A 12,716-nucleotide genomic window follows, 5' to 3' on the forward strand; every position below is an offset into this window, starting at 1 on the left:
GGGCAACAGGGCAAGACTTTGTCTCAAAAAAATAAATAAAAGACTGGGCGCGGTGGCACACGCCTGTAATCCCAGCACTTTGGGAGGCCAAGGTGGGTGGATCACGAGGTCAGGAGATCGAGACCATCCTGGCCAATATGGTGAAACTCTGTCTACTAAAAATACAAAAATTAGCCGGGCGTGATGGTGTGTGCCTGTAATCCCAGCCACTCAGGAGGCTGAGGCAGGAGAATCGCTTGAACCAGGGAGTCGGAGGTTGCAGTGAGCCGAGATCGCGCCACAGCACTCCAGCCTGGCGACAGAGTGAGACTCCGTCTCAAAAAAAAAAAAAAAGAATACACTTGCCAGTGTCCCTTGCAGGTAGGGCTGGCTATGTGACCAAGTTTTGGACAATAAGAAGCAGAAATGACAGGAGAAACTTCTAGGTCATTTCTTAGGAGGGGGTCTGCCGCTCCTTCATCATGCTGTTTGGAACCTAGACACGATGGTAGGAAGCCATCTCGGACAGTGCAGACAAGGGTGATACCGTGGCAGAGTGGAGCACCAAGCTAGAAGGATCCTGGATCCCTGGACAACTCATGGAGCCAAGCCACCATGCCCATCCACGACTACCTCCTCCCAGCTGCTCTGGGAGGGAGAGACAAACCTGCTCCTTGCGCTCACCATGATTTTGGACTCTGTTTCATGAACCCAAAGCTGTAGCCTACCTAGTTCAGTAGTGTATTGGGATGGGGCACCTTTGCATTTTGGACTATTGTAAGAATTGAATTACATATATGTGCTATTCTGCAACTTTCTTTTTCACTCAACTTTGTCACACTTAAATTTCTTTTTTTGTCTTTTTTTTTTCCTTTTTGTGGAGAACGGGGTCTCACTGTATTGCCCAGGCAGGTCTCGAACTCCTGGGCTCAAGCCGTCTTCCTGCCTCTGCCTCCCTGAGAGCTGGGATTACAGGCATGAGCCACCACACCCGGCCAGTTCAACTTTGTTCACAAGAATTGCCATCATGTTGCATGTGCTCTGAGTCTCATTCTTGCTGCTCTGTGGAACTCCGTTACTTAAATAGCCCAGATCCGCATCCATTCTCCTGCCGAGGGCACCTGAGTTGTGTCCAGTCACTTGCCTCAGAGACAGTGATCCAGTGAACAGATTTGTCTCCTGAACGTGTGTTTGTTCAAGTCTCTCTAGGGTAAACACCTACAAGTGGAACTGCAGAGTATGCGTATGCATACCTAAATGACTTTACTAGATCTTGCCAAATTGCTCTTCAAAGTAGCTATAAGAGCTCTTCCTGGTTTACAGCAAAGGTTGGCAAACTTTCTATTAAGAGTCAGACAGTAAATATTTTTTGCTTTGCGGGCCTAATGGTCTCTCGCAAATATTCAGTTGTGTCATTAGTCTCTCGCAGTGCCAAATGGTCTCACAAATATTCAGTTCTGCCATGGCAGATCAGAAGCAGCCAGAGACAATATGTAAACAAGTGGGCATCTCTGTGTTCCAATAAAACTTTATTTACAAAAACAGCAGCTGGCCCAGTGCGGCCTCAGGGCTTAGCTTGTGGGCCTCTGCTCCAACATTTGGTTATTGTCAGTTTGGCCAGTCCGGTGAATGAAATGGAATCTCTTTGTGGCTCTAATTTGTTCTTATTACAAATTAGGTGAATTATTTATTCATATTTTTATTGTCCATTTTTCTTCTGTGAAATGCTTACTCATTTTTGCTTGTTTTCCTATTTAGCCGTTCTGAGGAATTTCGGTGCTCGATAATAACCAACTCTGTGTCCTTCGATGCGGGTTTGATGTCTCCTCATTGCTGTAGTTTTTCATTAAACAAATTACCACAAACTAAGCAGCTTCAACAACACAAATTCGTTACGCATGGGCTCTGGAGGTCAGAAGTCCAGCACAGATCGAGGTGTCGGCAGGCTGCCTGCCTTCTGGAAGCTCCGGGAGACAGCTGGCTTCCTGCTCTTTGGTTGTTGGCTGAGTCCAGCCCCTTAGGGTCGCAGGACCAAGGTTCCTGTTTTCTTGCCGGCTGCCCCCTGAAGCTGTCCCCAGCTTCTGAAGGCCTTCTGTTCCCTGGCTCACAGCCCCTTTCCCTAACTTCCCCATGGAGAGGAGCCAGTCCTCCTGTCCCATCTCCGGCCCAGCTGAGGAAGGTTTTCCAACCCTAAGGTTTCGTGCGATTAGATGGAGCCCATCTGGATAATCTGGGATCATCTGCCATCTCAAGGTCTAACCTTAATCACATCTGCAAAGTCCCTTTTGCCAAGTGAGGTCACATTCACGGGTTCCGGTATGAGGGGTGCACACCTTAGGGGGCCGCAATGCTGCCGGCCACCGTCACGCTGAGATTCAGGCCATGTGTCCCTGTCACAGAAGTGAAGCCTTTTGGACACTGCATCCCATCTGTGGTGCACAGTGGCCGTGGGACCCAGGGCTCTTGAGTTTCCTGTCGCCTGCTGGGCTAGGCTTCACCGCTGCAGCCACCTCTTCTGTGGACCTGGTGAATGCTTTGTGGGGATGGGGGTGTCTTCCACGCTGAGTATCCTGGGCCTTAGTGAGCTTTCGGTCAGCCTCCAGCAGTATGGGCTCAGGGTTCCTATCTTATTCTGTGGGTCAGGACCCCTGACTCACTATTGAGATGCTCAGGGTATCCCAGGCTCGGCCTTGTGGGAGCCCTATCGGCTGGCCCCTGGGTCCTTCCGTGTGTCCCTGATGTGATCCCAGCATTCTTGCTTCCCGGCTCCCTGGGATGTTCTTGTGCTTTTCCTGCCCAGGCTGGGCTCGCCATTTCCCCCAGGAGCCCTGGTTTCTGGGAGAGGGAACCTCCTGAGGGAGGGGGAGTTAGCGGCCGAGATCTGGGTGCTGGGTGTGCTTGTGGCGCCTGGGTTCCCTCTGGACAGAGCAAGAAGAGATGTTGGGGGTGTGTGTGTATGATGTGTGTGTGGTATGTGTGGGGTGTGTTATGTCTATGGCGTGTGTGTATGATGTGTCTGTGGTATGTGTGGGATGTGTTATGTCTGTGGTGTGTGTGTATGGTGCATGTGTCTGTGGTTGTGTGCGTGTGTGTGGCATTTGTGGGGTATGTATAATGTGTGTGTGTCTATGTATAGTGTGTGTGGTGTGTATGGCCGTGTATGATTGTGTGGTGCGTGTGTGTGTTTAGTGTGTGTGTGGATGGTGTGTGTGGCGCATGTGTGGGTGGATGGTGTGTTGCACGCGTGTGTGCGTGGGTGGATGGTGTGTTGCACACGTGTGTGGTGCGTGTGTGGGTGGATGGTGTGTTACACACGTGTGTGGTGGGTGTGTGGCTGCGTGGTGTTTGCACGTATGTGTGGTGCATGTGTGGGTGGATGGTGTGTTGCACGCATGTGTGTGGTGCATGTGTGGGTGGATGGTGTGTTGCACACATGTGTGTGGTGCATGTGTGGGTGGATGGTGTGTTGCATGCATGTGTGTGGTGTGGGTGGATGGTGTGTTGCACGCGTGTGTGCGTGGGTGGATGGTGTGTTGCACGTGTGTGTGGTGCGTGTGTGGGTGGATGGTGTGTTGGACGCATGTGTGTGTGTTTACCACACATCCACCTCTAGCTCTGTAACTCTGCATCTGGCTACGTGCACTGAGGCTTTGCACCAACACCTCCAAATACCTGTAGAGGTCCCGGCACGGGGCTCCTCCTGGTGCTCCCCCTTCCTGGTTTGTAACTCCGTCGCTCCCACCTCCCTCGGGCTCCTGCACCCAACCCTGGGCTGCCCCCAACCGTGCCCAGCCTAAATGCTTTGGGATGAGGTGTGAGCAGGAGGAGGGGAGGAGAAAGGAAGCGCCGTGGCCGTCTTCCAGCCAGCACCTTCCAGCTTCAATGCCCACACGCGAGTGTGATCGCCAGAACTGACGGGATATCACTGTCCCACAGGAGCCGTGCTTGGCTTCCTGAGCACCAAGACTATGTCACCCAGGCATGCTACGGAACCTCTCTGAGCCGGCTCCGCGGCTCCCACCGCCGACATGGCTGCTGCAAGGGCAGCAACTTTCCATTAGGTCACAGGGGATGACAGCCCTGGGCACCGTCTGGGAAGAGGGATGGAGGGCTGGCTCGGACCTCTGCAGTCTCTGGGAACCTCAGTCTCCAAGAGCATGGGTCTGCTGCACCCGCTGCACGTCTGTGGTGAGGCTCCTCCTCCTCCCACACCGGGCACCCAAGCACCCTCTGCCCCACAACTCCCACCAAAGAAATGCGGGGCCCCAGCTGCGGTGGAATCCCCTACAAGCCCTGGCCTGCTTCAGGAAAGAATGCCTGGGGGAGGTGGGCGGGCTCAGGAACGCCGAGGTGGGCAGAGCTTGGCCCACGGAGCCGCATGGCCCAGGTGCCCTCGACAGCCGAAGCCTGGTTTTTTTGTTTTGGTTTTTGGGTGGTTTTTTGTTTGTTTGTTTGTTTGTTTGTTTTGAGATAGAGTCTCTATCTGTGTGTCCCAGGCTGGAGTGCAATGGCACGATCTCAGCTCACTGCAACCTCTGCCTTCCGGGTTCAAGCAATTCTCCTGCCTCAGCCTCCCGAGTAGCTGGGATCACAGGCACCAGCCACCACACCCGGCTAATTTTGTGGGGTTTTTTAGTAGAGACGGGGTTCACCATGTTGGCCGGGCTGGTCTTGAACTCCTCACCTCAAGTGATCTGCCCACCTTGGCCTCCCAAAGTGCTGGGATTACAGGCATGAGCCACCTCGCCGGCTGGAAGCCTGTTTAACCCTGGTGTCTGCCGTGCAGTTTCTGGGAGGTCCTGTGTAGGGGCCCCAGTGAGGACTGGCCCCCCTCCTGAGCACTGCTTACTGGGCAGTCCTACGCTCTCCCACCTGGGTCTCCAACTTCTAAGCTGGGGGCGTGAGCAAAGGCCAGGACGGCCCCTCGGAATCCAAATTGGGGCCCCAGTGGGCTTGGGGAGCTGGGGGAGCCTCAGGGGGGCCTGGGCTTTCACCACCCCAGCAGGCAGGAGTTAAAAGTTCACCTGGGCTCGGGTGCCGAATTGTCTAGGAACTCTGGTTCCCATCTCCCTTTCTCAGCGGACTCCCCACCTTTAGAATCACCCAGGGTGGTATCCCATGGAGGGAGGGGAGGGCCCTACCTGGTGGCCTCTCGTCCAGCCCACCCTGCCTCCTGGGGGTCTCTTCCCCGTGTTTCTATAACCCCAGAGCCATAAAACTGACAACAGGTCCAGCAAAGAGACTGGATTTTATTTAGATCCATAGCCCTTCTTAACGCCACAGCCGGGGCACAGCCTGCGGCCGGGGTGCCACCATGTCACCTGACACAGAGGAATCCACCAGCGCCCGCCCATGTCTCATGGCCACACGGGGGCCATCTAGGCTCCCACAGAGGGCTGTGTTGGAGGGGCAGCTGAGGCTCCAGGAGGAGGGACAGACTTTGCAGGGGGCTTCAAGCTGTTCCTGACCCTGCCCCGGCCTGGTGCTCTGGGCCGGGCAGGGGTGTGCTCAGAGCCCATCCTTGGCCAGAGCTCCAGAAGCCGCTGCCCCAGGGCTTTTCTCCTCCATCTGACGCATCTGCTCCCCGGCACCAGCCTGGCTCAGACACCCTCCAGCCCGTGTGTGTGTTCCCGTGGTGGCTCCCATGCTAGGCCAAGGCTTGGGTGGGGCTGAGGCCCAGGGTGTGCTGAGCAGGCCGGGCACCCAGGCACTGCCTGTCATGACTGAAGAGGGCCTGGAGGAACCATGGGGGGCCGGTGGAGTCTGTGCGGGGCGGGGATGGGGGTGCCTTTGAGGCTTTCCCGGTAGGTTACCCCTTGCCTCCAGAGGCCTCTCCCTGGAGCCAGGCAGCCAAAAGACCCTTGTTGGAAACACCACCAGCTGCAGCCCCAGCTCCACAGACTGACGGTCCAGTCCCCTGGCGGCCACCACTGGGGTTTGGGGACTGGGGAGACGGCGCAGCTGAGAATCCTGGGAGGCCTGGAGACCGCACCACCGGGCCGTGCATCAGGATGGGGGACACCTGGCAAAGCCCAGCTGTTCTGTGCCAGCCCTGAGAGACCTGCAGCCAGCTGGCCAAGGTAGGGGGTTGAGCCTCCCCTCCCCAGGTGGCTCCGGGACCCAAGGAGAGAGCCCAGGAGGGCCGGCTCCGCCCACCCTCCCCCTTTCCTGGGAGGTGGGGAACAAGAACAAGGGGCTGGGTTGGGCCACCCACATCTGCTCCCCGGCACCAGCCTGGCTCAGACACCCTCCAGCCCGTCGCTCGCTCCAGATGAGGAGGGCCACAGGGTATTTTCCACGAGGAATTTAGAAATAGCTGTCGGCAGAGCCTTGGTAGGCAGGCTCCCTGTACCCAGGACCCTCACACCCACGTCCCAATTGCCCCACCAAGGGGGCCTGTGACTTCCCAAGGGACTTCCCCCCAGGGGGACTCCACGCCCCCCTTCTCTCTCTGCATGCCAGGGTAGAGTTGTGGCCCCCAAAATTCACATGTTGAAGTCCAGGACCTCAGAATGGGACCTTATTGGGAAATAGGATCACTGCTGACTATACTTAGTTACGATGAGGCCGTGTTGTGTGGTGGGCCCTATCCTCGACGACAGTTGCCCCACAGTAGAAAGGGCAGATCCAGACACCAACATGCACACAGGGAGGACCCGTGTGGACATGAGGGCAGAGGTTGGGCGAGGCGGCCGCAGGCCAACAGACGCCAAGGATGATCTCAGCCTGTGGAAGAGGGGGCGGCCCAGGACAGTCCGGGCTCACGGCCTCAGGGAGCCACCCCGATGGGCTCTGGCCTCGGGAACTGCGAGGCAGTTTCTGTTGTGTGAAGCTCCCCAGTCTGTGGACCTTGTTCCTGCAGCTCGGGAAACTCACACCGCACATCCTGGCGCGCAGGCCAGGCCGCCGCCCGGGTTTGAGGCCTTGCTGCTCCCTTGCTGCCCCCAGCCACCCGCACACTCTCACGGAGCCCAGCTCACGACACCCATGTAGTGTGCGACACTTTTGGAGAACCACAGGAATGTCCTTGATTAAAGCGTGCGCAGGGAGAAACGTGGCCTTGTTCCCACAGATGCCCACCAGGGTCCCTCACCTGCTCCCCCTTGGCGCTGGCCTTGGCCCCTTCCAGCCTGCCCCACCAGGCGGCCGCTCTGGTCCAGGGGCCTGGGTTTGGTCCCTTCCTTGGGCACTTGCAGGCGCTCTTCCTGGCCTGTCTGCCCTCTGCCCTCCCCTTTTCCTGGCCTGTCTGCCCTCTGCCGTCCCCTGCGGCATCCCCCAGCCCCAAGGGCGGTGGTCCCATGGCCAGACGGGATTCCTGTTGGGCTCCCGAGCTCTGGAAATGCGGCCGCTGCTCTGCAAATGTGCCTTCTCTGGGCCCTTCCGCCCTTCGAGTCCATCTCCCTCCCTGGCCTCCACGGTAGGTCCAGGTGAGCAGGGTCCCCTGTGGCCCCCACAGTCCCCTTGTGTCACCAGGCACCATCTGTCCCAGCCTAATTGCTGGAGCTGCTGACATCTGGGCCGGCCACAGTGCCTTCGAGGGCCTGGTTGGTCTCTGAGGCACGGCATCCTGCAGCTGAGGGCCTTCCCTGACGGCTGTGCCCTCCACCAGCCAGGGCCCAGGCACAGCCCCTGAGGCAGGGTGTACATCCCTGGAGGCTGCGGTTGGGGAGGTGGTGGGATGAGCTGCCCTGTACCATGGCTGCGTGTGGGAAACAGCAGGAGGCCGGGGGAGCAGTGAACGGAGCTGGGCCCGCTTCAGGGATCTCGGCCTAGGGCAGGGGGTAGAATAAGGGAACAGAACCAAATTTGTCAGGGGGTGTGAAAGCTGCAAAGGGCTGGTCGGACAGGGAAAGGGGTTCTGGAGGGGAGGGTTTCTTTGTGTAGTGGGTGGAATGGTGGCCTCCAATATGTGATGTCCAACCAGAATCTCAGAATCTCAGAATTGGAGCAAGGGTCTTTGCAGCTGTCATGGAGAGGTTATCTGGAGATGAGGTCATCCCGGATCATCCCAGGGGGCCCTAAGCCCAACGACCCTCATCCTTATAAGGGATGGAAGAGGAGGAGAAACTCACATGAGATGAAGGCAGAGGCCAGAGTGATGGGGCCACAGGCCGAGGAGCACGGGAACCAGGGGGAGCTGGAAAGGCGGAAGGGCTCTGCCCAGAGCCTCTGGGGGCAGCAGGGCCCTGTGGACACCTTGGTTTCAGGCTCCCGGCCCTGGGAGCTGTAGGAGGACACCTGTGCTGTTGTGAGCCTGCCACCCTGGGGTCCTCCATGTGGCAGCCCAGGACCCCAGTGTTCTTTGTTCAGTGGTTCTGGGGTCTCCGAGGTGCTGGGAAGCACAGGTGTGGGGGACCTCAAGACAGGTGGGGCTTTCCCAAAGGAGCAGAGGAGGCACCTGCAGAGGGGCCCAGAGAGCACACCCGGGTTCAGCAGATGGTGTAGAGGGCGCCCGGGCAGAGGATGCACGGGCAAAGGCCCTGGGTTGTGCAGGGCGTTTATAGACGTGCATGGAGTCGGGGAGAGGAGGGCCGGCCCTGGGGGCCGCCTGGGCAGGGCTCCTGCCCGCAGACCAGACCCAGACCTGGCCAGTCCACTCTGGGAGAGTCAGGGTCGGGGGAGCAGGAGGGGGATCCGCAAGCTAGAAGGGTCTCGGGGCTGGCCAGGCTGAGGCCGCGCAGCCTGTGATGAAGGGGGCCGTGAGGGGCTCTCTTCTCCTGAGAGAATTCTAGAACCAGTGGGTGGCTCAGGCCCTGAGACTGGGCGTACTGGGGTGTGTCCATCTGGGACCCAACATGGCAGCCTCCCAGGCCTCAGGAGCTCTCTGGCCTGTGCCACGTGTCCCCAGTGCCCTGGTGGGCTCTGTCCCTACACAGCAGCTTCTTGGGTAGTAGGTGGGCTGCAAAGGGATATCTGAGTTGGGGGTCAGGGGCTGCAGCGACTTGAGCTCAGCCCAGGTGCATGGTGTGAGGAAGCTGTCCCTCTAGACGGCTCGGGGCCCTGAGCTCAGTGCTCCAGGCCTGCCCCCACGGTCCCTAGAGGGAGGCAGGTGGACAGGACATGCCTGGACAGGACAGAGCCTGGGCTGGCAAACACTTGGAGGGGGCTGGGGCTCCCGCCTGCCTCTCCCCAGCACCGTCTCAGCACAGGTGAGCAGAGAAACCAGACCCTCCCCCTCAGCCTGTTGGAGGGCAGAAGTGAACACCCCTGTCCCCCAAATCCCTGTCATGCTTTTTTGAGCCCCAGGAGGGGACACGGCATTGTCCTGGAGCCACAGCATTGGTCTGACTCTGACTCGCATTCGATGATGGTGGACCCGTGGGCAGGTCACGCTCCTCCCTGGGCCTCAGGAGCCGCCCAGTGCCAGAGCCGGGGGCACAGCATGGCAAATGTCATTCCCAGCCTGCCTGGCTGCCTGGCAGCTCTCGAGAGAAGCCCACAGCCCCGCTCCTGTCTCCCTGCTTCCTTTGAGTGAGGCCCGGCCTGGCCCTCTGCCGTGTTCAGGCCACCAGCACCGGCTGCACAGCCAGCGCCCACCAGAGTTGACTCCTCGGGCCTCTGAGCACCTTCCCACTGCCTGGAGTGGCCGGCTGACCAGCGTCCATGCACTGCCTTCCCCACCCAGAGGCATCTCCCTGTCATTGTTGAGTGCGCAGTTCCCAGCTAGCAATCACCTCCCCATCCTCACGAGCACCGGGCATGGTCCTGTGACTACAACCTGAGCAATATAAGCAGAAGGGCTGGGCCGACTTCATGGCTTGCCAAAAGACCCTCCCCCTCCCCCTCCTCCTTCCCTTTCTCTTCCCCCTTCCCCTTCCCCTTCTCCCCCTTCCCCTTCCACTCCTCTTCCCCTCCCCCTCCCCCTTCCCCTTCCCCTTCCCTTTCTCCTTCCCCTCCCCCTTCACTTTCCCTTTCTCCTTCCCCTTCCCTTCCCCCTTCCGTCCCCCTTCCCCTTCCCCTTCCTCTTCCCCTCCCCCTTCTCTGAATCAGGGTCTCACTCTGTCACCCAGGCTGAGGTACAGTGGTGAGATCATACCTGGGACCACAGGTGCACATGGCTAATTCTTGTATTTTTTGTAGCGACAGGGTTTTGCCATGTTGGCCAGGCTGGTCTCAGACTCCTGGGCTCAAGTGATCCACCAGCCTCGGCTTCCCAAAGTGTTGGGATTACAGGTGTGAGCCTCCATGCCCAGCCCCAGCTGAAAGCTTTTCAGTAGTCTTTTACCTTCCCTCCTTTCTCCTTCCTGCTGCCTGGAATGCAGATGCAATGGCTGGAGCTCCTGCGGTTGCTATGGAACCATCCTTGACTTCTCCCTTTCAGTCACACCCCTCATCCAATCTATCGGGAAATTCTGTTGAGTCCATGTTCAGATATCCACAGCTTGGACCACTTCTCCCCACTTCCTGTGTCTCCACCACGATCCGGGTTATCTCTCTCCGGGATCGTCATGTTCTCCTCACTTCCGTCCTGGCCTCCCCATGGTCTGTTCCCACCCAGCAGCCAGAGGGTGAGACCATGTCAGCCTCTGCTCAAACCCACCCTCAGCCCAGGTCCTCACAGGCACCCTGCAGGATGCGCCCTGCCTCCCCTCGGGCCCTCCCAGCACCCCCTAGCTCACTGCCTGGCAACCCCACTCCTGCTGGTGGGCCTACAAAAGCTCTGTAGCATTTGCTGAGGAACAAATGAAACCTGGACCCCAGGGATGGAGGCCGTGGTGGGGGGGCACCATGGAGAGGGGGAGGCACTGTAGAGGTGGGGACACCGTGGAGATGGGGGGGGCGCCGCCCCAGCCCGGCTGCCTGCCCACCACCCATTGAGCAAGCCTCTGGTATTTAAGCCACTGTTTGATTTAGGGCCCAATGAACGAAGCCAGCCAATAGCAATCTCTCACTGTTACCCTCTCCATTTTATAGATGGAGAAACCGAGGCTCAGAGAGGCAACGCAGTGTGCTCAAGGCCACAAGACTTCTAGGTGTGGGCCTGGGCTGCATGCAGGGTGAAGGTTATCATGACCCCCAAGCTCAGGGCACCCCAGGGATGCAGCTCTGACCCCTGCCCTGAGGATGGGACACTCCAACCCTTTCTCTTTTTTTTTTTTTTTTTTGAGACGGAGTCGCACTTTGTTACCCAGGCTGGAATGCAATGGTGAGATCTCAGCTCACTGCAACCTCCGCCACCTGGGTTCAAGTGATTCTCCTGCTTCAGCCTCCGGAGTAGCTGGGATTACCGGCATCTGCCACCACACCCAGCTAATGTTTGTATTTTTAGTAGAGATGGGGTTTCGCCATGTTGACCAGGCTGGTCTCCAACTCCTGACCTCAGGTGATCCGCCCGCCTCAGCCTCCCAAAGTGCTGGGATGACAGACGTGAGCCACCGCACCCGGCCAAACACCCCAACTCTTTCTGCTGCATTGAGTCCAGCAGGGTGCCCTGAGGGACTGGCCCCGGGGACATTTTCAGCCACTTTAGGGAAAAGAAGACGTAATGCTCACACTAACCGCCCCACACCCGACTCCAGGCTGGCCTGGCGCCATACCCTCGGGGTCTCCAAGAGAGGCAGGGCTGGTCCCCACCCACCACCTCCCCTCACCTTGGTCTTGGTGTGTGGAGCCCTTGGCCAGGTCCCAGGCAGTCGTGGGTAACACCGCAGACGTGTGTTACCCAGGGCGGGGCCCCTGAGAGCTGGGGTGGTTCAGAGCCCGTCCCCACTCCGGGAGCAACGTCAGGGCGGGGCGGGGCTGGACGGACAATGTGACCTTTGCAATGTCCCCGAACAAGAACTGCAGATGGTAATCACGGCCACCAGGAGGAAACTTCCTCTGAATCTTCCACTACCGTGGTGTAACTAGGGAGGGTGTTGGAGCATTCAGCGAGATAAAAAGCCTGCTTTTGTCTACACTTTTTCCGTTTTCTAAAAATTCCAGACACAAGGGGAGAGCTGCCCAAACACAGAGGTGGAGAGGAGCCTGTCCGGACACAGGGACACAGGCAGCTCCGGCAGTGACCACTTGGGCCTCAGAGAAACTCACAGGTGGCCACTACTCCTGTTTGGAGCTGGAGGCAGATCATCTGGGGCGCCTCGGGGTAGGGAGGAGCTGGTGGACAGCACGCCCCACTTCTTCCCCAGCCCCTCCAGGGGGAGCTGCCATTCCGCAGCTGGTCCACCCAGCCCCAGGAAGGGGGAGGCTCCCCAGGACAGTAGCCCAAAGAGCAGAGGGTCTCCCCGAGAAGGTGCACCCCAGGCAGGGCTTATCCACATACCACTAGGCTGGGGGCCCTGCTCCGGGGGGTTGGGGTGGCTGGAACCTTAGATGGTCCCATCCTGTTGGGGGGCTTCCTGGGCCGCTTTGCTGCTCCCAACTGTGGAAGGTTCTCTCTTGCCTTCCCTTTCCTGCTGTTAGAAGCACCCCAGCCCCTCCAGGCAGCCCCCAGGGCCCGAGTGATGAATCACTGACTTCTTGCCAGGCTCCGGTCGTGATGCGGGGTGGCAGAGGGATGTGGGCAACGCAGCTGGGAGTCCCGGGGCACAGCCGGGCTCTCTCCAGGCTCCCCATCCAGCAGCTGCGCACCCCCCCAAACACACGCCGGGCTCCCCGCACCCGGAAGCTGCCCACAACCGGCAGGACAGGTCGGTGGGCCCCGGGGAGGAATGCAGGAATGCTGCGTGCCCAGGCGAGGGGCCCTGCGCCCGCCCAAGGGGCTCTCCAGCTGCGCAGGGGCCGGGGCGGATGGAGCC

General features: G+C 58.9%; 2 long non-coding RNA genes across 2 annotated transcripts, besides 3 other annotated features; one reads left to right on the top strand and one right to left on the bottom strand.

Moving 5' to 3' along the window:
• The first annotated feature begins 291 nt into the window (after positions 1 to 291).
• LOC124904082 (uncharacterized) lies at positions 292 to 1,848 on the top strand. The gene is made up of 2 exons (XR_007065941.1): positions 292 to 1,307; positions 1,738 to 1,848. It is a non-coding gene; the product is annotated as an uncharacterized LOC124904082 (long non-coding RNA).
• Positions 1,919 to 2,091: a silencer, noted in NCBI's record as "fragment chr17:79273333-79273505 (GRCh37/hg19 assembly coordinates)". NCBI's record gives its function as "represses an EF-1alpha promoter that drives an FKBP-Casp9 reporter gene in an ReSE screen in K562 erythroleukemia cells {active_cell/tissue: K562}" and the evidence as "EXISTENCE:reporter gene assay evidence [ECO:0000049][PMID:32094911]".
• Positions 4,825 to 5,023: a transcriptional cis regulatory region, noted in NCBI's record as "candidate enhancer chr17.5937 targeted for multiplex CRISPR interference". NCBI's record gives its function as "positively regulates P4HB gene expression in K562 cells {active_cell/tissue: K562}" and the evidence as "EXISTENCE:mutant phenotype evidence [ECO:0000015][PMID:30612741]".
• On the bottom strand, positions 5,210 to 11,634 carry LINC00482 (long intergenic non-protein coding RNA 482). The gene is made up of 4 exons (NR_038080.1): positions 11,571 to 11,634; positions 10,016 to 10,230; positions 8,052 to 8,203; positions 5,210 to 7,748 (listed from the first exon to the last, which is right to left on the bottom strand). It is a non-coding gene; the product is annotated as a long intergenic non-protein coding RNA 482 (long non-coding RNA).
• Positions 11,998 to 12,057: an enhancer, noted in NCBI's record as "active region_12962". NCBI's record gives its function as "activates an Ori minimal core promoter by ATAC-STARR-seq in GM12878 lymphoblastoid cells {active_cell/tissue: GM12878}" and the evidence as "EXISTENCE:reporter gene assay evidence [ECO:0000049][PMID:35858748]".

The sequence above is a fragment of the Homo sapiens genome, chromosome 17 (assembly GCF_000001405.40).
Source record: "Homo sapiens chromosome 17, GRCh38.p14 Primary Assembly".
NCBI lineage: Eukaryota > Metazoa > Chordata > Mammalia > Primates > Hominidae > Homo > Homo sapiens.